The sequence below is a fragment of the Homo sapiens genome, chromosome 7 (genome assembly GCF_000001405.40).
Source record: "Homo sapiens chromosome 7, GRCh38.p14 Primary Assembly".
In the NCBI taxonomy this organism is placed as follows: domain Eukaryota; kingdom Metazoa; phylum Chordata; class Mammalia; order Primates; family Hominidae; genus Homo; species Homo sapiens.
This window is the reverse complement of record NC_000007.14, coordinates 72,861,168-72,886,019: the sequence shown is the minus strand read 5'-3', so window position 1 is coordinate 72,886,019 and position 24,852 is coordinate 72,861,168. Positions and strand designations below refer to the sequence as shown.

At 46.5% G+C, this 24,852-nt stretch overlaps 1 protein-coding gene and 1 pseudogene across 21 annotated transcripts in view, besides 6 other annotated features; one reads left to right on the top strand and one right to left on the bottom strand.

Annotated features, from left to right (window-relative positions):
* The window catches only part of POM121 (POM121 transmembrane nucleoporin), a 72,103-nt gene extending 65,440 nt beyond the window's left edge, over nucleotides 1-6,663 (bottom strand). For 7 of the 20 annotated variants that reach the window (NM_001257190.3, NM_001387699.1, NM_001387698.1 and 4 more), the window contains exon 1: nucleotides 6,135-6,663. The gene's annotated coding sequence lies outside the window, so the exon portion shown is untranslated. Of the gene's footprint in view, nucleotides 1-2,837; nucleotides 2,956-4,467; nucleotides 4,571-5,682; nucleotides 5,850-6,134 lie in introns of all 20 variants that reach the window. The other 13 variants (NM_001387697.1, NM_001387694.1, NM_001387687.1 and 10 more) reach the window with 7 other exon arrangements.
* Nucleotides 5,838-5,967: an enhancer, noted in NCBI's record as "active region_26120". NCBI's record gives its function as "activates an Ori minimal core promoter by ATAC-STARR-seq in GM12878 lymphoblastoid cells {active_cell/tissue: GM12878}" and the evidence as "EXISTENCE:reporter gene assay evidence [ECO:0000049][PMID:35858748]".
* Nucleotides 6,338-6,477: a silencer, noted in NCBI's record as "silent region_18241". NCBI's record gives its function as "represses an Ori minimal core promoter by ATAC-STARR-seq in GM12878 lymphoblastoid cells {active_cell/tissue: GM12878}" and the evidence as "EXISTENCE:reporter gene assay evidence [ECO:0000049][PMID:35858748]".
* Nucleotides 6,338-6,843: a biological region, named in NCBI's record as "H3K27ac hESC enhancer GRCh37_chr7:72349748-72350248".
* Nucleotides 6,343-6,843: an enhancer, noted in NCBI's record as "H3K27ac hESC enhancer chr7:72349748-72350248 (GRCh37/hg19 assembly coordinates)". NCBI's record gives its function as "activates a minimal SCP1, AML or CMV promoter by ChIP-STARR-seq in primed H9 embryonic stem cells {active_cell/tissue: H9 hESC(primed)}" and the evidence as "EXISTENCE:reporter gene assay evidence [ECO:0000049][PMID:30033119]".
* Nucleotides 6,498-6,597: a silencer, noted in NCBI's record as "silent region_18240". NCBI's record gives its function as "represses an Ori minimal core promoter by ATAC-STARR-seq in GM12878 lymphoblastoid cells {active_cell/tissue: GM12878}" and the evidence as "EXISTENCE:reporter gene assay evidence [ECO:0000049][PMID:35858748]".
* On the top strand, nucleotides 12,726-24,496 carry SPDYE7P (speedy/RINGO cell cycle regulator family member E7, pseudogene; annotated as a pseudogene). The gene is made up of 9 exons (NR_168484.1): nucleotides 12,726-12,847; nucleotides 14,017-14,622; nucleotides 15,550-15,707; nucleotides 17,020-17,250; nucleotides 18,283-18,341; nucleotides 19,564-19,649; nucleotides 21,692-21,935; nucleotides 22,058-22,162; nucleotides 23,016-24,496. The product of NR_168484.1 is annotated as a speedy/RINGO cell cycle regulator family member E7, pseudogene (transcript).
* Nucleotides 16,703-16,890: a silencer, noted in NCBI's record as "fragment chr7:72339695-72339882 (GRCh37/hg19 assembly coordinates)". NCBI's record gives its function as "represses an EF-1alpha promoter that drives an FKBP-Casp9 reporter gene in an ReSE screen in K562 erythroleukemia cells {active_cell/tissue: K562}" and the evidence as "EXISTENCE:reporter gene assay evidence [ECO:0000049][PMID:32094911]".
* Nucleotides 24,497-24,852: the final 356 nt, after the last annotated feature.

Here is a 24,852-nt window from a genome sequence, read left to right as displayed (position 1 = left end):
AAATGGATATTACTTAAGAATAAACTATGACAATTAAAGTTGCATACTATAAATTCTAACTCACTAAAATAACAAAACAGTGTGATAGCTAAAAACTCAACAAAAGATATAAAGTAGAATCATAAAAAATTCTCAACTAATCAAAAGGAAGGAAGACAAACAGAGACATTTTAAAAAGAAACAAAGAAGATGAGACTAAAAGAAAGCAAAGACAACGGACTATAACCTAACTCGTTTTATCAATAATCACATTACATGTAAACGGTTTATACATCCCCAATTATGAGACAGAAATAGACTGATGAAAACAAGCAAGATCCAAATTTTGCTGCCTGTAAGAAATAATACTTTAGATATAAAGATGCAAATAGGTTAAAAGTAAAAGGATGGAATAAGATATACCATGCATGTATTACTCAAAAGAATGCTACATAAATAACAAAGTACATTTCACAGCCTGGAATATTAGCAGGGATAAGGAAGGCCATTTTACAAAGTGGTTAATTAATCAACAGGACGTAATAACCTTGAACATTTATGTATCTAACATAACACATAAAGCAAAAAGTGGTAAAATTGCAAAGAGAAACAGAACCACAACTGCAGCAGATTTCAATCCCCTCTCCCCCACAATTGATACAAGTGGGCACACAATCAACAAGGATATAGTACACCTGAACAACACAACCAACCAACTTGATCTCATTAACATTTATCAAACACTCCACCCAACCAGAGCAGAACAAGCCATCTTCTCAGGCATGCACAGAATTTTCCCAAGACAGATCCTGTTCTGAGCCATAAATTTAAGAGGTTCCATGTAGCATTCCAGACAAAAATTCACAGTCTAAATCTAATCATGAAGAAAGATCAGGGAAACCTAAATTTAAAGACTTCTATAAAATCATTGGCCTGTATTCTTCAAATGTTATAATGGCACTGCGGAACAAATCCGTATTAAACAGACTTAAAAAGCATGAAAACTAAAGGCAATTAACAGTCCTAGACTGAATCTTCTACCAAAAATTAAAAATTGCTATAAAGGAAATTATTGGAAAATTGGCAAAACTGGAAAATGAACTATAGTTTAGATAAAAGTATTAAATCAATGATAAATTTCCTGAATTCAATTACTGTGCTATGGATATTTAATAGAATATTCTTGATTTTATGAGCTACAATCTAAAACTTTATAGGGTAAAGAGGCATGACACGTTATACCCACTCTCAAATAGTTCAGAAAAAAAATATATATATATAAATATATATATACACACACGTATATAGGCATATAAATGATTAATGTGGGAAAATGTTAAGAATGAAGTATCTGAACAAAAGGAAGTATCTGGGATTTCTTTGTAAAATCCTTGCAATTTTTCTGAAAATCTGAAATGATTTCAAAATAAAATGCTAAATAGAAAATAATGCTATCAAATATATGTATATATTTGCTATCAAATATATATTATATGTATATATTTGCTATCAAATATATATTATATGTATATATTTGCTATCAAATATATATTATATGTATATATTTGCTATCATATATATCAAATATATTTCAAAAGGACTCAGAAACCAACTTAAAGGGATTCCGTCTGGCCAAAGATGGAACCACTTAATTTTCAAAAAGAATCACAACTTCTATGTACTGAAACATTTACTATCTGTTTAAACCCATGAGCTCATGATGGTAACAAAACAAAATACCCTCCTGCTTAAAAGCCTACTCAATATTTTAGAAACTGTCTTTCCTGCATGAATTACATAAACAAATAGAGAATAGAAATTTATCTTTAGAAAAGTATTCTAGGCCAGCCGTGGTGGCTCATGCCTATAATCCCAACACTGGGAGGTCAAAGAAGAGGATCACTTGAGCCCAGTTCAAGACCAGCCTGGGCAACATAGAGAAACCTGTCTCTAATAAAAATTAAAAAATCCGCTGGGCATTGTGGCATATGACTATACTCCCAGCTACTTGGGAGGCTGAAGTGGGAGGATCACTTGAGCACAGGAGTTTGAGGCTGCAGTGAGCCATAAATGTGCCAGCCTGGGTGACAGAGTGAGACTCTGTCTCCAAAAAAAGAAAAGAAAAGTATGTTGGCTAGTAAATAAAGAAGAAATGGTAGAATTAGCAGATCACCATTTTGCCTCCCCTAATGAAGGCAAATCACAGCAATAGTAAATCACAGCAATAATCAACAGTCAATAGTTCTTAACTTCACAAAAACAAAGAAGGTAACACGTGCCTCCAGAAGTAGACAAATGCCACGTATGGTATAGTTGTGTGAAAAGAACTGAACATAAACCTGATTAGACTTCCAGATCAAACTACCAATTTTACCAAGGCATACAAGATATTTTTAAAAAATGTGCTAAAGGTGAAACAAGGGTAACACAATCCAAACTGAGGATAACCAACCCAGTTTCTTCAAAACAATGAGCACGCAGGAGACATACTATGGGAACTATTAAAAGATTTAACCCAACTGCCACATGTATTAAGAAAGAGAGTATTATGGGTTATTCCTAGCCCCTTTTAAAAAGATTCCTTATTGGCCAGGTGTGGTGGCTTACACCTGTAATCCTACCACTTTGGGAGGCCAAAGTGAAAGGACTGCTTGAGGCCAGGAGTTTGAGACCAGCCTGAGCAATACAGTGAGAATACATTTCTAGGCCGGGAGCAGTGGCTCACGCCTGTAATCCTAGCACTTTGGGACGCCGAGGCGGGCAGACTGCCTGAGCTCAGGAGTTCGACATGCATGACACGGTGAAAGCCAGTCTCTACTAAAATACAAAAAAAATTAGCGAGGTGTGGCAGCATGCACCTGTAGTCCCAGCTACGCAGGAGGCTGAGGCAAGAGGATCGTGTGGGCCCAGGAGATTGAGGTTGCAGTGAGTTGTGATCACGTCTCTACATTCCAGCCTGGGTGACAGAGCAAGACCCTATCTCAAAAAAAGAAAAAAAGAAACAAAACAAAACAGACTTCACCATTTAAAGACAAACAAATACTTACAGATGAATCTTTTTAAAAGCCAAGAAAAGAGAGACTCCATGGAGAAAATATCAGTTTGGAAGTAACGGATGTCAAAGGCAGACAAAGGGTCCTGTGAGGAAGGGGCTAGGAAATGCCCGCTGGATTTGACTGCAATTAAATCACTGGTCACCTTTACTGACTGACTTAGCAAAGTGAAAAGGACAAAACGAAAACACTGAGAAGTGAAATGAGAAACAGAAATGAGGAAATCTTCACAAGAGAGTAACTGTTTGTATTGTTTGCTGTGCAACCCGAACAAAAAGACGAACAAATATTTGACGGATGATCACGTCATTCATTCCCCCCATGATCTAGGACTCAACAGTAAAAACAGAATTGTTTACTTGGATCACGATATTTCCGTCCCTGGAAAAATTATATGCACCAAGTTCTCCTTGGGCAGCAGGCCCTCTGCTTACATAAGCACCAAGAATAAGCCATAAGTCAGCAATTTAATGGTTGTTGTTAGGAAAGCTATCCACAATTATACCAACTTGAATGAAGAAATTTTTCAAAGTCCTAGAAAATCTTTTAAATCCACAAGTAACAAAACTGGTTTCTCCTTATAATCAATGCAAACGATGTCATGGATGGTGATATGGTTTCGGTGTGTGTCGCCTCCCAAATCTCATGTCCAATTGTAATCCCCAATGTTCCCTCTTCCTTCTGCTCTGGTGATGGAAGATGCACCCACTTTCCCTTCACCTTTCACCTGACTGTAAGTTTCCTGAGGCCCCCTCAGCCATGCTTCCTATGATAGAGCCTGCAGACGTGAGCCAATTAAACCTCTTTTCTTTATAAATTACCCAGTCTTGGTTATTTCTCTATAGCAGTGTGAGAATGGACTAATACAGATGGCATTTTCCTTTTGTGATGACTGCCAAGAATATCAGTCCTTGGTGCGGCTCAATTTCAACAGCCTTAAAATATACTACCCATACATACAAGCTTCACAAATCATTTTTGGTGCTGATCTGCCACACTAACTGTATTTTACAGGATAATGTCTATTTCCACTTTCCCATTTTAAAGTATGAATCCTGGCTGGGCTCGGTGGCTCATGCCTGTAATCCCAGCACTTTGGGAGGCTGAGGCAGGAGGATCACCTGAGGTCAGGAGTTTGAGACCAGCCTGGCCAACATAGTGAAACCCCATCTCTTCTAAAAATACAAAAAATTAGCTGGGCATGGTGGCGCACGCCTGTAATCCCTGCTACTCAGGAGGCTGAGGCAGGACAATCACTTGAACCCAGGAGGTGAAGGCTGCAGTGAAGCGAGATCATGCCACTGCACTGCAGCCTCGGCAACAGAGCAAGACTCCATCTCAAAAAAAAGAAAAAAAAAGTATGAATCCTTACAAACCTCTTAAAATGCATCATAAAATAAAATTGAGGAACATATACACAAGCAGGAAAACTCACCTGCAATGTGTTCATTTTCTGCTGCTCTTGGAAACTTGCAGAGACTGTGGCTGATAGACCTAGAGGGGCAGAAGCAGGTCACTGAAGTCATGAGGGCTCCGGCCTGCAAAGGCAGAAATCACCTGCATAAGAACCGCAAAAGAAAGCTCAATAGGCTAACACCCTGTGAACACTCAACCTGCAAACACTCAGAAGGGTCTAAAAGAGTGATACAGGGTTTCGCCATGTTGGCCAGGCTGGTCTCAAATTCTGGCCTCAAGTGATCCGCCTGCCTGGGCCAACATGGCAAAACCCCGTCTCTACTTAAAAATAACAAAAAAATTAGCCAGGCATAGTGTCACATGCCTGTAGTCCCAGCTACTCAGGAGGCTGAGGCACAAGAATCCTTTGAACCTGGGAGGTGGAAGTTGCAGTGAGCCGAGACCACGCTGTTGCATTCCAGACTGGGTGAGAGACACTGTCTCAAAAAAAAAAAAAAAAAAAAAAGAGTGATAGGGGAAGCATGCGCCTGTAACTCTAAGATAATCAGGTAGTAATTAGATGAGTTAGACTCTCATGGGTAGCACGACTCCTTTTACAAATAGTCTGCCATCATCATCAAATACAAGGTGCAAAAAGAAAAAAAAATTCCCATTATACGGCTCATGTTTTTTGTGGTTTGTTGGTTGAGACAGGGTCTCAATCTGCCACCCAGGCTGGAGTGCAGTGGTGCATTCACGGCTCTCTGCAGCCTCGACCTCCTGGGCTCCATCCATCCTCCCACTTCAGCCTCCTGAGTAGCTGGGACCACAGATGCATCCCAGCATGCCTGGCGACTTTTGTATTTTTTGTAGTCAGGGTCTCCCCATGTTGTCTAGGCTGGTCTCTAACTCCTGGTCTCAAGAGATACTCTTGCCCTAGCCCCGCAAAGTGCTCGGATTACAGGTGTGAGCCACTGCATCCCGCCCGCATTTTCTTATTGTCTCTTTAAACTGCTTAAAATAAAATAAGCCATAGGAATTGAGTATGTGAGCTCTCAGAAATGAAATGAATGTGTATAAAATATGGTTTTGTTTCTAAATTATCTAACTGAAGTTGGTTATTGCTGCACCTAATAATCTTCTATTAAGAAAACTAGGATACGGGAGAAAGAACACTGGCCTGGAAGATAAGTCTCCTGGGTTCTACTATGAGCAGCTCTACCCACAAAGCCGGTGACCTGGTCAAGTCACCCACCTGCTAAGGCCCAGTCTCTTCCCCTAGCAACTGAGGCAGCAGCAGAGAATCCCTGCAGACTGTTCCTGCATTACTACGATTCTCCCAGGGCAGATATAAGGGGGTGATCAGCAGACACTTAAGTGAGAGAATAGAAGTGCTGACGGACGTTTAGAGGCGGTCGAAATCTGGAGCACAGAGAGGAGGAGGAAGGACTGTTAGGGGTTAGCGGGGAGTGGAGATGACGTCCGCAGCTGAGGGTGGTGACACCCTCCACGCTTCCGTAAGCCTTGTCCTCCCAGATCTTCCCATGCAGCGCCTGTTCGGTGCAGCCGGACCTTGCCCTCAAACCCAACACATGTCTCTCCGGCAAGCAATCGGGACGCTCCCTCTGCCCCACACTCTAAGGTCCCCAACACACGGTGACTTCACTCAGGCCCTTCTCGCTCCGGGCCCGAAAACCCAAGACTTACCCTCCTGGGGCTCTGCAGCCTCTGCCCCACGGCTCCCGAGAGGCCGGGGCGGGCTGCTGTCGCTGGCGCGCGCGTCTGCTCGCGAAGTCCCCTCCCGTCCACCTCACCAAGGCTGTTCTGCTCCCGAGGGGCCCGGGCCGGGCCTACGGGGCAAATCCAGGCGGGTGTCCTTCTCGGGGCCCAGATCCGCCTCCCTGGGGCTCACCGTACAGCGACGGCCGGCGCCAGGCCGCCGAGGACACACACGGGCCAGGCCCAGGTCCCGTCGCCCCTTCGCCTCCGCCACCACCTCCCGCCTGGCCCCTCTGGCCCCAGCGCCGCTGGCTCCGGGGTTCACGCTCGGGGGTCCCGGCTCGAGCCTCTACCCGGCCCGCGCGAACCCTGGGCCGCACAGCTCCCGCCCGCCTAGGTGCTGGCCCGGGCGGTCAGCGTCCAGCCCCGCAGACTCGGTGATTCTCATCCACTAGAGGCCAAAGCCTGGGAACTAGAGCAAGCGGTGACCTGAAGAGGCGCAGGAAGCGAGGGCAGTGCGGAGGTGGCGCGCATGTGCGAGCACGCACGCGCGAACACGCACGCAGGGAGAGGTGCACACGCGCAGGAGTGCACCGGAAGTCCGCCTCCTGGGACACCCACCGCCGTTCCCAGGACAAGTAACGGACTCTATTTCCTATGAGCCTACGCGCTCCCCAAGTTTAGGGGCCGTCTTAAATGTCTCTACCCCGCCTAAAGGTTAAGAAGCTCCAGGCTATGAGCTTTGGCAGCCCTGAACCCCAGACTGAACTTCACCTTTGTCTTTACTCCCTTTTAGGGTCAAGTCCAGGGCTGCGTTACTGGGTCCTGGAGCCCAAGTCCTCTGGGTTAGAACCAAGTTTCCCATAAGGAGAAGGAAAGGAAAGGGTGTATCATGGTCACTGCTCTGAAATGCTGAGAAGTTTCACTCAAATACTGGGACAGGATAAATGCCCAGCGATGCTTTCCAAGGAACAAAAAGAAAATAGAATTTGTAGCTGGGTGTGGTGGCTCAAGCCTGTAATCCCAGCACTTTGGGAGGCCGAGGCGGGCAGATCGCGAGGTCAAGAGATAGAGATCATCCTGGCCAACATGATGAAACCCTGTCTCTACTAAAAATACAAAAATTAGCTGGGCGTGGTGGCGTGTGCCTGTAATCCCAGCTACTCGGGAGGCTAAGGCAGGAGAATCACTTGAACCTGGGAGGTGGAGGTTGCAGTGAGCCGAGATCACACCACTGCATTCCATCCTGGCGACAAAGCGAGACTCCATAGCTTTTCTAGATCACACAGCGAATGCCTAAAAACTGTAGAGAAATAAGGACATACACACACAAACTGAACGAAGAAGAGATACCTGTGATCTTACCTTCCCCAGGAGGATTATGTTTAGGGTTAGGTTATGTTGACCAAAAAGAGTCAAAGTCTGTAAAGAGTTTTATTCTGGGCCTCCTATTTGAGTGACCATGGCTGGTGACACAGCCTCAGGGGGTCCTCAGAACGTGAGCCCAAAGTGATTGGGTTACAGCTTGGTTTTATGCATCTTAGGGAGACAGTAGTTACAGGCAAAGACATAAATCAATACACGGGAAGTATATGTTGGGTCAGCCAGGAAAGGCTTTCAGGTCACTAGTAGATTGAAAGATTGGCAGTTGGTTCAGAGTTAAGTGTTGGCTGAACAGCTGGAAGACTACATAAAGAAATGGGCTATTGCGGTGGCTCATGCCTATAATCCCAGCATTTTGGGAGGGTGAGCTGGGAGGATCCCTTGAGGCCAGGAGTTCAAGGACAGCCTGGGCAACACAGTGAGACCCCCCACTTCTACAAAAAAAAATAATTAACCAGGTGTGGTGGTGCATGCCTGTAGACTCAGCTACTCAGAAGGCTGAGGTGGGAGGATCGCTTGAGCCTGGGAAGTTGAGGCTACAGTGAGCCATGATGGCACCACTGCATTCCAGCTTGGGCAACAGAGAAGAAAGAGAGAGAGAGAAAAAGAGAGAGAGGAAGGAAGGAAGGAAAAGAAAGAGGGAGGGAAAAAAAAGAAAGAAAAGTTTGAGTTAAGATAAGGGGGATTGTGGAAACCAAGGTTCTTGTTATGTAGGTGAAGCCTCAGAACAGGCTTCAGAGAGAATAGATGATAAATATCTCTTATTGGATCTTAAAAGGTGTCAGACTCTCCAGAAAAGACCTGGAGTCTTTTCTGTAAGGGAAAGAGATTCTCTACAGAATGCAAATTTCCCCCAAAGAGATGGCTTTGCAGGACTATTTTAAAATTTGTCAAAGAAAATATGTTATGGGGTAAAATACTGTGATTTACTTCAGGGACTGCTATCTGTCATGTGATGCTATGTCAGAGTCTGGTTGGAGATGGGTATCTTACTGATAAAAAGAGCCTGTTTTGTCAGTCCTATGATCTCTATTCTAATAGAGATCATAATGTTGGTCAGCTGTGCCTAAACTCTGACGGGAGGAGAATTATGACAAGGCATGTCCAACCCCCTCCTTCCCATCATGACCTAAATTAGTTTTCCATGTTTATTTTGGATCCTGTTGGCCAACAGGGGAGTCCACTGAGTCAGTTGTGGGGGCTTAGAATTTTATTTTTGGTTTACAATTAAAATGTCAGTTTTCAAAAATGGGATCATAAAGACAATGATTCATCACAATTTTTTGGTGAAATCTAACAGTGTTCTTGCCCAGTTGTTTCATAAAAACTGGTAAGGAAAAGACTAAAAATAAATACTTCTGAGGCCAGGTGCAGTGGCTCACGCCTGTAATCCCAGCACTTTGGGAGGCCGAGGCCGGCGGATCATGAGGTCAGGAAATCAAGACTATCCTGGCCAACATGGTGAAACCCCGTCTCTACTAAAACACAAAAAATTAGCTGGGTGCGGTGGTGCGTGCCTGTAGTCCCAGATACTTGGGAGGCTGAGGCAGGGGAATCACTTGAACCTGGGAGGCAGAGATTGCAGTGAGCCGAGATCAGGCCACTGCACTCCAGCCTGGGAGACAGAGCAAGACTCCATCTCAAGATAAATAAGTAAATAAATAGATTATTCTGTTAACCTAGAATATTCTCTCCACAAATTCAGAAAATAAAGAAAACAATTTTATTATTGAATAAGCATTAAACCAGACTGTGATGCCCATCACAGGTGATCCATTAATGAGATGCAAAGAGAAATAAACCCTCCTTTTTTTTTTTTTTTTTTTTTTGAGACAAAATCTTGCTCTATCGCCCAGGCTGGAGTGCAGTGGTGCGATCTCGGCTCACTGCAACCTCTGCCTCCCCAGTTTAAGCGATTCTCCTGCCTCAGCCTCTCAAGTAACTGAGACTACAGGTGCGTGCCACCACACCTGGCTAATTTTTTGTATTTTTAGTAGAGATGGGGTTTCGTTATGTTAGCTAGGATGGTCTCGAAATCCTGACCTCATAATTCGCCCACCTAGGCCTCCCAAAGTGCTGGGATTATAGGCGTGAGCTATTGCACCCGGCCAAAGTGTCCTTTTTATATAGCCTGGCAGATACAATCCATTGCATACATGCTCTCAAGATAAATAGTAACTCATCCTCATGCAAAAGGACTTGCTATGCAGTTTTTTTTGTTTTGTTTTTTTTGAGACAGGGTCTCATTCTGTCATCCAGGCTGGAGTGTAGTGGTGTGATCTTCTTGGCTCACTGTAACCTCCATCTCCTGGGTTCAAGTGATTCTCGTGCCTAAGCCTCCCAAGTAGCTGGAATTACAGACATGTGCCATCATGCCCAGCTAATATTTGTATTTTAGTATAGACAGAGTTTCGCCATACTGGCCAGGCTGGACTCAAACTCCTTCTTTCGATTTCTGTGTGGCTTCAAGTGATCCGCCCGTCTCAGCCTCCCCCAGAGTGCTGGGATTACAGGTGTGAGCCACCGTGCCTGGCCTGCTATGCATTCTTAAACACTCATCCTAAATTCACCTGGAAATCAACGTGGCCATCCATGCTAGTTAATTACCTATATCCAATGAAAAAATAAAACTTCTCACATCTCCTTGACAAGCAGGTAGTAACAGCTCAAGTTGCCTAGGCTAAACTCCCTAGGCAACAGGAAGATAGGGACACTATTTTCCTCCAGGTTTACATTTCAAAGACAAGACTCTTAGGCTCTTAAGAAAAAAATTCCTGGATTGTGACCAGGCACGGTGGCTCACGCCCATAATCCCAGCACATTGGGAGGCCGAGGCTGGTGGATCACCTGAGGTCAGGAGTTCAAGACCAGCCAGACCAACAAGGTGAAACCCTGTCTCTACTAAAAATACAAAAATTAGCCAGGCGTGGTGGCAGACGCCTGTAGTCTCAGCTACTCAGGAGGTTGAGATGGGAGAATTGCTTGAACCCGGGAAGTGGAGGTTGCAGTGAGCCGAGATTATACCCCTGCACTCCAGCCTGGGTGACAGCGAGATTCTGTCTCCAAAAAAAAAAAAAAAAAAAAAAAAAAAATTCCTGGGTTGTAATGTTGGCAAGAAGTTCATTTACCTTTTTAAAAGATTTAGGTACATATCAAAGGCACAAAAGAAGTTATTTATATTACAAGGTTTATCAAGGAAATACTCTTTAAAAAGGAGAGGAGATAAGGTTAATTTCCCTTTTGGCAAGTAAGACAAATGTAATCTTTTTTTTTTTTTTTTTAGAAAATCCATACAGTGAGGGCTGGGCATGGTGGCCCACATCTGTAGTCCCAGCACTTTGGGAGGCCAAGGCAGGTGGATTACTTGAGGCCAGGAGTTCGAGACCAGCCTGGGCAACATGGCGAAACCCCATCTCTACTACAAATACAAAAATTAGCTGGGTGTGGTGGTGTGTGCCTATTGTCCCAGCTACTCTGGAGGCGGAGGCACGAGAAGTGCTTGAACATGGGAGGCAGAGGTTGCAGTGAGCCGAGATTGAGCCATTACAATCCAGTCTGGGCAACAAGAGTGAAGCTCTGTCTCAAAAAATAAAAAAATAAAAAATAAAAAACAAAAACAAAGAGCCTCTTTTCCCTCTCCCTGCCACAGAGTTGTCTTCAGTAATTTCATTCCCTTTTTTCCTGAGGGTTCACTGGGTTTCTGGGTCCCAGAAGGGGAAGTTCTCTTCAAGGTACAGAAACCACAACTCCACAGAGAACCGCAGAGACGGCAGCATGACCAGACCCTGGCCAGGTTTGGGGAGGCTGCTGGGCTGAGACTTGGGCTGAACTTCCGCTGCAGGTCGACTTATTCCCATCAGCACCAAAGCTGCTGGAGGGGGTCATCCAAAAGCAAAGGAAGCAGGGGCGCAGCTTGGAGGCTGTTTCAGAAGGTCCCACTGAGCCAAGGACTCAAGGCCTGGCCACAGCCCTCCCAAGCGAGGCCCAGATCATATTTCACCATGCTCAGAAAACCTTGTCTGCTCATTTCAGTCCACAGTGATTTTGCTTTCTTTAGGATCTCTCTTGAACTGTCCAACCCAGAGAGTTTCAAATCGGAATGGATTCCAATGATGGAGCTAAATCAGGCCCCACCTTAGTTTTTGAATTACAATCAATAGGGCTGGGTCGCAGCATCTGTATCTTAATGTTCCTCCATGTGATCCTCATGCTGAAAGGCTGGTATTTGCAAATCCCTTTTTTTGGGGAGTGGTTTTTTTTTTAGAGAGAGGCCTCACTCTGATGCCCAGCCTGGAATGCAGTGGTGGATCACAGCTCACTGCAGCCTTGAACCCCTGGCCGCAAGAAATCCTCCCACCTTAGCCAACCAAAGTGTTGGGATTGCAGGAGTGACCACTGTGTCTGGCCAGGAAAGCCCTTCTGTTTCACTTGAATGATATTTCTGCAGCATACCTACAGCCATTGTTGTATTCAACTGCATCACTGTGGGAAAAGAAAAGGTGAGAGGTGACTGTTTTGCTTTTTTCTGAACATATCAGACCAAACCTGGGCTATTTAGCCATTTTTTTTTTTTTTTTTTTTTTTTTTTTTTTTTTTTTTTTTTTTTTGCGATGGTGTCTCGCTCTGTCACCCAGGCTGGAGTGCAGTGATGCAATCTCGGCTCACTGCAACCTCTGCCTTCCAGGTTCAAGCGATTCTCCTGCCTCGGCCTCCCAAGTAGCTGGGATTACAGATGTGCACCCCCACGCCCAGCTCATTTTTTCTGTATTTTTAGTAGAGACGGATTTAAACATGTTGGACAGGCTGGTCTCGAACTTCTGACCTCTGGTGATCTGTCTGCCTCTGCTTCTTAAAGTGGTAGGATTACAGGCACGAGCCACCGCGCCTGGTTTGCCAATTTTTTGACAACATATCAACATCATTTACGATGGGCATGGCCTCAGTGTAGTGTGTCTAGACAAGGTGGCCGGAAGAGAGAGGAATATGCAAACCAGGCTTGAAGATGGGTTAAATCAGAGCTTTTCATTCCACAAAAGAGAAATTTTAATGGGGTCAGAACATTGATCTTCTAATATTTGAAAGCCTGTTAACTAGGAGAGAGAGAGCGAACGATTTTGTTGTAGGAGGACCCACCCAGCTCTGACGGTTTAAAGCGTCATGAATGCGAATTTGAACTCCAGAAAAGCAGAGCTTCCTAACAATGGGACTTCCACAGCAATGGGATCTGCTTCCTCTTTCAGTGTGTGCCTTTTCTGTGAGCGAGAGACTCCTAGGAAAGCAGCAGCCCATTAGGAAAACGTGTGGGAACTCATTCGCAGGTTCTTTATTTTTTTTGAGATGGAGTTTTGCTCTTGTTGCCCAGGCTGGAGCACAATGGTGCGATCTTGGCTCCCTGCAACCTGCGCACCATGAGTTCAAGTGATTCTCCAGTGCCCTCTCCTGAGTAGCTGCGATTACAGGCATCCACCACCATGCCTGGCTAATTTTTTGTATTTTTAGTAGAGATGGGGTTTCACCATGTTGTCCAGGCTGGTCTCAAACTCCTGACCTCAAGTGATCCACCCACTTTGGCCTCCCAAAGTGCTGGGATTACAGGCATGAGCCACTGAGCCAAGCTGGGAACCCACAGGTTTTTTGGATGGTCTCTGAATGTCATGTAACTCTTTTATTTTTTATCAAAAAAAATTTTTTTGACACAATATCTTGCTGTGTTGCCCAGACTGGAGTGCAGTGGCAAGATCATGGCTCACTGCAGCTTCTAACTCCTGGGCTCAAGTGATCTTCCTGTCACATGAGTCTCCCAAGTAGTTGGAACACAGGTGCCAGCCACCACACCTGGCTAATTTGGTTTGGTTTTGTTTTTTTAGAGATGGGCTCTTGCTATGTTGCCTATACTGGTCTTGAACTGCTGGCCTCAGGCAATCTTCCTCCCTTGGCCACCCAAAGTGCTGGGATTACAAGCATGAGCCACTGTGCACAGCTGAAATTTTTCGACTTAGTCTTTTTGTACATGTGATATTTTATTCATAGAATCCATAAATGGAAGGGAAATTTCTGAGTTCAGAGCAATACATATGATACAAAACTTGATATATAGACTAGAGTTTCTTAGCCGAACTGGAGAGGCTGGCTTAGGTAATCCATGGATTCCCTGAAATTGGGGACACCATTGGAAATATGTGTGAGCTCAGGGGCAGTTTCCTATGATTTTTAGGCCTCAAAATGTCTCTTGGACTCAAAATTGCCTTAGGGCAGAGGACGTGTGTACCCCCAGTATAGAATCTCAGAGAGTGAATGTGAGTAAACATTCGGCAGAAAAGCTCTGCCAAACTGAGTGCTCTGATGTGACTTTTTCATCAAGTCAGTATTCTTGGGATCTCTTGTACATGATAATCTCACTCTTGTACATGATAATCTCACTCTTATAAGGTTTCATCGTTTCTGCTTACCCTAGTTTTCTTTCCCACTCTGTTCCCTCTCCCACCAGACTGGACACTGAAATGGGCATGTACAGAGACGAAGAGACCCCAATATGCTTCAGGCTTTGAGTGGAGAGGACACAGCCTCTGCTGGGACAGGGAACAGAGGGATGTGGAGTCCCTGAAGATGCTTTTGGACAATGGTCTGAGGTTGGGACAGTGGCAGGAGATACCATTCACCCAGGATCTCCAGTACAAGAGATCAGCCTGGCAGTTACACGTGTTTTTTTTTCAAACTGGTTGCCAGGTTGGCATGAACGATGACATCAGAGATTCCGACCTTCCTGATTGGAGGGACCGGACTCCGTGGTGCCTGGAGATCAGTTGGACAATAGTATCTTCTCAGAGCTGTTCTCCACTCCTGACTGCTCCTAGGCTTGAGAATTGATAACATACTCTTCTGGATCCTAGCAGTGTCCAGAAGAAGGCCATGGACAGAACGGAGACTAGGTTCCGTAAGAGGGGACAGATTACGGGAAAGATCACGACCAGCCGTCAACCGCACCCCCAGAATGAGCAGAGTCCCCAGCGGAGCACCTCGGGGTACCCCCTCCAGGAGGTGGTGGATGATGAAGTGTTGGGACCATCAGATGAGGGGACTGGTGGAAGAAGAGGTGGGATAGGATTGACTAAGACGAAGGAAGGGGGCCGGGTGTGGTGGCTCACGCCTGTAACCCCAGCACTTTGGGAGGCCGAGGCGGGCGGATCACCTGAGGTCAGGAGTTCAAGGCCAGCCTGGCCAATATGGTGAAACCCCATCTCTACTAAAAGTATAAAAATTAGCCAAGTGGTAGTGGTGCACACCTATAATCCCAGCTACTCAGGAGGCTGAGACAGGAGAATCACTTGAGACTGGGAGGAAGAGGTTGCAGTGAGCTGAGATCACGCTACTGCACTCCAAAAAAAAAAAAAAAAAGAAAAAAGAAAAGAAGGGTCAGCGGTCAGGAAGGAGAACCTGAGGAGGGTGTGTGGGAAGAATGGAGAAATTCAGGCTGGGTGCAGTGGCTCACACCTGTAATCCCAGAACTTTGGGAGGCCAAGGCAGGCGGATCACTTGAGGCCAGGAGTTTGAGACCAGCCTGGCCAACATGGTGAAACCCTGTCTCTACTAAAAGTACAAAATTGAGCTGGGCATTATGGCAGGCACCTGTAATCCCAGCTACCTGAGAGGCTGAGGCAGAAGAATAAATGGAATCCAGGAGATGGATGTTGCAGTGAGCTGAGATTGCACCACTACACTCCAGCCTGGGTGACAAAGCAAGATTCTGTGTCAAAACAAAACAAAACAAAAAAGGAGGGACTCAGAGAGCCAGGGACCAGGGAAGGACATGAAGCAGTGTTCCGAGAACAGAGAGAGAGAAGAATGGGGAGGGGAAGGAGTGGCACATGGGGTTGAGCAGAGGAGAAAGTCAGAAAGATGGCTTGGAGAAGCCAGCAGTCTGCGAGTCTGGGGAGGATGGAGAGTGGTTTGGGGTTTTGGGTCGGGGTCTAAGGTGATCAGATGCAGAAGCATTACACGGTGGCCTGGTTTCTTTACTCAGCCCCTGGGGTAGATCCCAGCCCCCCATGTAGGAGCTCGCCCCTGAGCCTGAGGAGACCTGGGTAGTGGAGACGCTGTGTGGGCTCAAGATGAAGCTGAAGCAACAGCGAGTGTCACCCATCCTCCCTGAGCACCACAAGGACTTCAACAGTCAGCTTGGTAGGAGGACACCCCAGAGAGCACCTCCAATCCTGTTCTTTCTAAAAAGAGGAAACTTCCAATAACCACACTTTTCCAATGGGAAAGATACGCCCCCAGTGGGTGAGCTCTCCATGCAGGAGGACTCAGAAGTGATCACTCATGAGGGACACTTAGGAGACGATAGAGGACTAGGCTAGACTTGATAAAGGTTGGCGCTTGGCATGAGAAAGCTTGGTTTCGGGCCAGGTGCAGTGGCTCATGCCTGAGATCCTAGCACGTTGGGAGGCTGAGGCAAGAGGATTGCTTGAACTCAGGACTTTGAGGCTGCAGTGAGCTATGACTGCACCACTGCACTCCAGCCTGGGTGACAGAGCAAAACCCTGAGTCAAAAGAAAAACGAAGGCCGGGTGTGGTAGCTCATGCCTGTAATCCCATTACTTTGGGAGGCTGAGATGGGTGGATCACTTGAGGTCAGTTGTTCAAGACCAACCAGACCAATATAGCGAAACCTCATTTATATTAACAATACAAAAATTAGCCAGGCATGCCTGTTATCCCAGCTACTCGGGAGGCTGAGACAGGATAATCGCTTGAACCCAGGTGGAAGAGGTTGCTTTGAGCCAAGATAGCGCCACTGCATTCCATTCTGGGTAAGAGAGTGAGACGCTGTCTCAAAAAAAAAAAAAAAAAAAAAAAAGAAGGAAGGAAGGGCCCAGAAGTCAGGAAGGAGCACGTGAGGAGGGTGTGTGGGAAGAATGGAGGTACTGAGGCAGGGTGCACTGGCTCACACCTGTAATCCCAGCACTTTGGGAGGCCAGGCAGGCAGATCACTTGAGGCCAGGAGTTGGAGACCAGCCTGGCCAACATGGTGAAACCCTGTCTCTTCTTGAAGGACAAAAATGAGCTGGGTGTTCTGGTGGGCACCTGTAATCCCAGCTACTTGGGAGGCTTAGGCAGGAGAATCACTGGAACCCAGGAGGCGGAGGTTGCAGTGAGCCGAGATCGCACCACTACACTCCAGCCTAGGCCACAAAGCAAGACTGTTTCTCAACAACAACAACAACAACAAAAAAAAAAAGAAGGGACTCAGAAAGCCAGGGACCAGGGAAGGATATGAGGAAGTGTTCTGAGGACAGAGAAACGGGAGAATGGGGAGGAGAAGGAGCGGCACATGGAGCTCAGCAGAGGAGACAGACAGAAGGAAAGATGGCTTGGAGAAGCCAGCAGTCTGGGAGGCTGGGGAGGATGGAGAGTGATTTGGGGTTTTGGGTCGGGCTCTAGTGTGATCAACTGCAGAAGCATTACACCGTGGCCTGGTTTCTTTACTCAGCCCCTGGGGTAGATCCCAGCCCCCCGCATAGGTCCTTTTGCTGGAAAAGGAAGATGGAGTGGTGGGACAAATCTGAGGAGTCGTTGGAGGAGGAGCCACGGAAGGTGCTCGCCCCTGAGCCTGAGGAGATCTGGGTGGCGGAGATGCTGTGTGGCCTCAAGATGAAGCTGAAGCGACGGCGAGTGTCGCTCGTGCTCCCTGAGCACCACGAGGCCTTCAACAGGCTGCTTGGTAGGAGGACACCCCAGAGAGCACCTCCAATCCTGTTCTTTCTAAAAAGAGGAAACTTCCAATAACCACACTTTTCCAATGGGAAAAATATGCCCCAGTGGGTGAGCTCTCCATGTGGGAGGACTGTGAAGTGATCACTCATGAGGGACACTTAGGAGATGATAAAGGATTGGGTCGACTTGATAAAGTTCGGCGCTTGGGATAAGAAAGCTTAGTTTCGGGCCAGGCGCGGTGGCTCCCGCCTGAGATCCCAGCACGTTGGGAGGCTGAGGCAAGAGGATTGCTTGAACTCAGGACTTTGAGGCTGCAGTGAGCTATGACTACATCACTGCACTCCAGCCCGGGTGACAGAGCAAAACCCTATCTCAAAAGAAAAACCAAGGCTGGGCACAGTAGCTCATGCATGTAATCCCAGCTACTCGGGAGGCTGAGACAGGAGAATTGCTTAAACCCGGGGGGCAGAGGTTGCAGTGAGCCAATATCAGGCCACTGCATTCCAGCCTGGCCCACAGAGCAAGACTCTGTCTCAAAATAAATTAATAAATAAATAAAAATAAAAATCAAATAAAGAAAAACAAAATCAAAAATCAAAAAAGTGGTTTCAGCTGTGCCCTCTGAAACTTAATGTTTCTTACTGACTTTTCTAAACCTAAGTGTTTCCATCCATAGTGGGGGATACCAAGGCCATGGTCACACCCTGATGTGACTGTCTCATGAGGAAATGATGGGAATTCCTTTATGACTCTGCAGTGGTCCCTCCGTGTCTGCTGGAGGGGGTCCTGGCTGATTCCCAGCTCTACATCCTGTAGATTCTCACACCCAGGGCCTCCTTCGGCCTCTTCTCAGGGGAGTCTCAGAGCAGGAGCCTCTCTCCCTTGCCCAGTGAAAGTCATTCTCCCCTCTCCCATCCACCTCACCCGCGGCCACAATCCTGAGACTTCCCCCCGGGAGGCACACTTCTCCTTTCTGCCCTGCTGCTCCCATGGAAACCCTGTCCTGCTTCTCACACTGACATCTGATCTCTAATCACAGAGGATCCTGTCATTAAAAGATTCCTGGCCTGGGACAAAGGTCTGAGGGTGTCGGACAAGGTAAGGTTGTTCTCCATGTAACTGTTCCTGTTCCAACGCATGGCTGGGGGGAGGGCGCAGCTTCCAAACCCACAGTTCTCCCTCCACTACCTCCCACCAGATGCTCCTACAGTCTTTTTTTTTTTTTTTTTTTTTTTTTGAGACAGAGTCTTGCTCTGTTGCCCAGGCTGGAGGGCAGTGTCTCGATCTTGACTCACTGCAGCCGATGCCTCCCGGGTTCAAGTGATTCTCCTGCCTCAGCCTCCAAGCAGCTGGGATTACAGACATGAACAACCACGCCTGGCTAATTTTTGTGTTTTTAGTAGAAACAGGGTTTTGCCATGCTGGCCAGGTTGGTCCTGAGCACCTGACCTCAGACGATCCACCCGCCTTGGCATCCCAGAATGCTGAGATTATAGACGTCAGCCACTGTGCCCGACCAGCTCCCATGGTCTTGAGTCTTGGCACCCACAAATTTTTTTTTCTGAGACAGAGTCTAGCTCTTTTCCCCAGGATGGACTGCAGTGGCATGATCATAGCTCATTGCACCCTCTAATTCCTGGGCTCAAGCAATCTTCTTTCCTCAGCCTCCTGAGGAGCTGGGACTAGGCACATGCCACCATGCTCAACTAATTTTTGAAATCTTCGTAGAAACAGGGTCTCACTAGTTGCCCAGGTTGTTCTCAAACTGTTGGGCTCACGTGATCCTCCTGTCTCCACCTCTCAAAGTAATGGGATCACAGGCTTGGGCCGCCACTCCGAGCTATTCTTGGTCTTTTTATGATTTGTCAGCATCTCCCTCAGGATTCTGCTGGTCTCTTGCAGAGTGAATGAGTGGCCCCTGCCTCTCCTATGGGTCCTTTGGGATCTGAGCTCTGGGCCACAGTCTGGCCACAGCCCTGAAGCTTCTGGCCCCTCTACTCTCAGCTCTTCGGACAGTTCTCTGCCTGGCACACAAAAGACCCTCCTGACACCAGCCGACCTAGACACACCCCCTCCAAAGATCCCATCGGAGCCCACCATCCTGGGAGCATCACCCAAAACCCTTCCTCTGGCTTCTCGGATTTGCATCCGACCTTCGAATACCCCTCCATCCCGCAATTTCCAAATGAGTACAGTCACCCCAACACTGAGGTCCCTTCTCTGATGGGCAGCCCCTCCCCAGACCCTCATTCCCCCTCTCCACAATCTTCCTCTTCCAAGATGTGACCTCTCCCTCTCTGTGTTCCTTTCTCTCCATCAGTATCTCCTGGCTATGGTCATAGTGTATTTCAGCCGGGCCGGCCTCCCCTCCTGGCAATACCAATGCATTCATTTCTTCCTGGCTCTGTGAGTGGTTTGCTGCCTCCTATCCATCGATATCCAATGCCCTGGGACAGCGGGGGAAGTGGGATTCCAGCCTTTCATTTATTCTTTTACCTATTTGTCCTCTTTACTCTGTGTACAAAAAAGAGAGGATTATACTATCATAGACTGTTGTTTCTAAAAAGAAACTCAGGCTGGGCACAGTGGCATACGCCTGTAATCCCAGCACTTTGGGAGGCCGAGGCAGGCGGATCACCTGAGGTCAGCAGTTCGAGACCAGCCTGGCCAACATGGTCAAACCCCGTCTCTACTAAAACTAGAAAAATTAGCTGGGCGTTGTGGTGTGCACCTGTAATCCCAGCTACTCGGGAGGCTGAGGCAAGAGAACCCTTTGAACCCAGGAGGTGGAGGTTGCAGTAAGCTAAGGTCGAGCCACTGCACTCCAGCCTGGGTGACAGAGTAAGACTTTTTCTCAAAAAAAAAAAAAAAAGCCAAAAAAACAAACTCCAATGCCAGTGTACAAATAAAAGAATAAAACAAAAGGAACCATAAACCGCTCCTAAGGGGAAAAGAAAAGGAGTGGAGGAGCGGACATGCCGCTTCCTCCAGCAAGCAGACGTTTCTGGTTCTTCTCTCTCTCTCCTTCCCACATCAACCACAAACGCCATCGACCTCCTCTGGGTTCCCATGACAGAGGCCACAGTTCAGGTCCCCCTCGCATCACTCGAATCCACTGTCAAATGCTCCCTGCTGGGGTTTCCTGGAGTCTCTCCCCAAGCCAGGGGGCTTCCTAGTGCAGCCTGAACATCTTTCCAAAGCACGACAACCTCACTGCCCACCTGAACAACTTCCTTAGCTGATGCCTTTCTCTATCGAGGCCAGGGTCCACAGTGCCAATTCTACCCTCTCTACAATCTCTACAACCACACTGGCTCGCCATCTTGGTATTTCCTGGCTTGGCTTCACTGCTCCTTCCAAATGCCCTCCACTCGACTTTGTGTTTGTGTTTTTGTCTGGGTGTCCCGCACACATGTGGCTCTGAAGGGAAGGACCCATTCCTTGAAGTCAGTTCACCCCACAGCCTCTGTGATGCCTTCCCTCATCTTCCAACTTCTGCATGCCCGTAGCTCTCTAGTTACATCCTGGACACTGGGATTAGGTCATCTGCCTTGATTACTCCCAGTCCCATTAGACTAGATGCCTGTAGAAGGCAGGGTCCTGGCAAAATATCAATGTATTCAATTTCTTTTATTTTTTTGAGACAGACTTGCCCTGTCCCCCAAGCTGGAGTGCAGTGGTGAGATCATAGCTCACCGCAGCCTCCATATCCTGGGCTCAAGCGATCCTCCCACCTCAGCTTCTTTATTAGCTCCGACTACAGGGCTGTGCCACCACACCTGGACAGTTTGTTTGTTTGTTTGTTTGTTTATTGAGACAGAGTCTTGCTCTGCCTCTCAGGCTGGAATGGAGTGGCCCAATCTCGACTCACTGCAACCTCCGCCTCCTGGGTTCACACAATTCTTATGCTTCAGCCTCTTGAGTAGCTAGGACTAATGGGTGTGCCACCGCACCAGGCTGATTTTTGTATTTTTAGTAGAGATGGGGTTTCTCCGTGTTGACCAGGCTGGTCTCCAACTCCTGGTCTCAAGCAATCCACCTGCTTCAGTCTTCTAAAGTGCTGGGATTACAGGCATGAGCCACCGCGTCTGGCATATTTCTTATATTTTTAATAGAGATGAGGGTCTTGCTATGTTGCCCAGGCCCGTCTCAAACTCCTGGCCTCAAGTGATCCTCCTGCTTTGGCCTCCCAATGTGCTGGGATTCCAGGCGTAAGCCACCACTCTCGGCCACCAGTTGGGTTTTTGTCTCCATCCTGAAGGAGTGGGAGACACCCTTGATCAGGTCTCTGTCCAGCAGAGCCCTCCTGAGGAAGGCGTGGCTCTCTGCAGGGTGGGTGCCAGTCCTGAGCTAGGGACGGTCCCTTACCTTCCTCTCTGGGAAGCTGACCTCAGCCGGAGGCCTCTCTTGGTGGTGCCCCTGAGCAGCAACCTGATTTCTGTCCTCAGCTACCTGGCCAATGACATGGAGGAGGACGACGAGGACCCCAAACAAAACATCTTCTACTTCCTGTATGGGAAGACCCGCTCTCGCATACCCTTGCTCCGTAAGCGTCGGTTCCAGTTATGCCGTTGCATGAACCCGAGGGCCAGGAAGAACCGCTCTCAGATAGTCCTGTTCCAGAAACTTCGGTTCCAGTTCTTCTGTTCCATGAGCTGCAGGGCTTGGGTTTCCCCGGAGGAGTTGGAGGAGGTGAGTGGGGCCTGGGGAGGTGGAGGATGTGGGGAGGAATCGGGTGGGCTGGAGGCTGGATGAGGGGAGAGAGGGGTATCCTGGCGAGTCCCCATCTTCTCAAAGGGCGTTTGTTTTTCCAGATCCAGGCTTATGACCCAGAGCACTGGGTGTGGGCGCGAGATCGCGCTCGCCTTTCCTAGAGCTCCAGGGACCGTGGAGGCCTGAGGTCATCGGCCTGAGAGAAGGTACCTCTGCATCCTCCGGGGTAAAGGCAGAATATTGGGGTCTATTTTGGAAATCCGAGGAACCCAATTGCTTGATCTGGCTTCAAGCCTGGGCAACGTGGCGAGATCCCCTCTCCACAAAAATACAAAAATTAGCCAGGTGATGTGGGACGCATCTCTACTCCCAACTACTCAGGAGGCTGAGGCGGGAGGATCACTGGAGCCTGGAAGGTCGGGGCTGCACGGAGCCCTGATCCTGCCACTGCACTCCAGTCTGGGCGACAGAGTGAGACCCTGCCTCAAAAATAATCATAAATACTGAGTTTGGGGAGGTTCATTATGATTGACGCACTTGAGTTACCGATTTGGGTCGAGGGTTCAGTGAAGCTTTGGTTTACATCTTGTGCAGCTAACCACGGTGAGCACAGAGCATGAGACTTCATCATGAGGAGGTAGGATTAAGGATCAGGCTTCTGGACTCGTGGTTCGTGATGTTGTCACATTAAAAACACATCTAGCATGGTTACAAGTTTAGATCTTAAGTGACACAAAAGGCCCCAGCTGTGATGAAGTCCAAAGCCACATTCTCTGAGGGTGCCCTACTCCCTAGGCAAACCCACCCAAAGTCCTTGCTATGAAGCACATCACTGGGGCTGACCTTGGGTGTATTAAGTGAGTTTTGGAGTCATGGTCACCAAAGTGTGAGTTTCACAGTTGAACACGATGGTTCAGAAGCAGGGTATAGAATGAAAGGCAGGAGATACAATTGCATTTCTCAATTGCTCTGAACTCTAGACTTCACATGGGACGTGAATAACCTTCCTGTCTAGAGAGCTGCCTCCTTGAAGTGTGACATCGTCTCTCTCACTTCCAGAACACCGGACCCAGGGGAGATGTGGATTTTCAGCAGGAACTTTATTCCAATGCTAATGGCAGACACCAGGAAGAAGGAGAGGAACCATTTGTGCAGATCATCTAGAAGAACCTGGACCATTCTTGATGGAGCTGAATACAGTGATCATGTTGTCCTACCTAGGAGCAGGGGGAGGGGGGTGGGGTCCTTCTAGGAGTCCTTGGAGAAAAGTAAGAAACCAGGAGTGTTTCCAGTTCCACCCTTTCCTGCGGCACCACCACCCTTTTTATATTGCTGAATTCCAACCTCCCTGGGGCGGAACCTGGAGGTCCTATTTCTTACGGACTTGGTTGCCACAGTCCAGGAGCATTTGAAGGCACAATGCAGGGGCTCAGATTGGCACAGAATTCTTTTGTGAAATATCAGTGCCACAGATTGTAACAGATAGCTTCATGCACACTCTGCATTTTATTGGTTTGTTTGGAAAATGTTGGCCATTGAATTATTCATAGATTTATTTCAAATAGTTTGGAAATTGTTGTACCTTTGAAAACATGCTGTTCCTGTAGTTTTTTGATGAGAGTTATAGTTGTTATATATACATAAAGATAATTTTCTTTTCATTTTTAAGAGACAATTCTTTTTATCCTAAATATTTTATTATCTTTAAATTTGTTCCTGTATTATTATATGTGCTCCTGAAGCGAGCACTCTTTTTATCTATGATACTTCCATAATAATCTCTTCTATTTATAGCTATTGGTAGTTCCCTACCAGAAAAAAACATAATTCTGGTGATTGAAATTTTTATTTGCTATTTAGGTTTGTGACTGAATTGTGAGAATTCAGTTGTGATTTTTAACATGTCTCAGATATATATACTAACATGTCTAATATATACTATCTATTTTATTGGTTTATTTTGAAAAACATGGGTATAGAATTATTTAAATATTATTTTATTTATTTATTTATTAAATATATTTATTTATTTAAATATTATTACTACTTTAAATATTATTTTAAATATTTTGGAAATACTGGTATTTTTGAATAGATGCTGTTTCTATAAAGCTGTGTGATGGGTGTTATAACTGTTATATACACATACATATAATTTTGTTTTCCTTTTTAAGAGAGGATTCTTTTCATCCTAAATCTTTTACCTTTCAATCTTTGTATCTATTATTACACATGCTGCTGAAGGGAGCATGGTTTTTATCTATGATACTTAGTTAACATATATATTACATTTATAGCTATGTAGTAGTTCCCTTAAATTCTTGTAAAAATAAATTTTTATTTGATATTTCATATATGTCTGAAATGTGAGAATACAGATGTAATTTTTTACCTTGTTTTGGCATGTTTGTATGTTACTTTAAAGAGGATGTGTGTGCTAAAGGAGGACATGAGCTGTGTGTTTTCAAGAGAACAATAGAGTGCGTCTCTTGGGGAAACATAATAAAAATGAACTTTTCTCACCTTCACAGCAATTGTGATCATATTGGTCTGGATTGATTATTTGCTGCCCAGTGATATTTTTCCTTAATCGGGTTGTGGTTATTTGAACATATTTATTAGCTCTGGAAGATAATCCTGTGCTGTTTTTTATGTAGAAAAAAACATAAGGCTGGGTGCAGTGCTCACACCTACAATCCCTGCAGTTTTGGAGGTCATGGCAGGAGGATCACCTGAGGCCAGGAGTTTGAGGCCAGCCTCAGCAACATAGCATCTACATCTATTTTTAATTTTTATTTTTTAAAGAAAAACAATAGAAGAGAAGGCTGATCCCAAGCTACAGGGTTTTTTTGTTTGTTTGTTTGTTTTGGAGACAGAGTCTTGCTCTGTCTCCCAG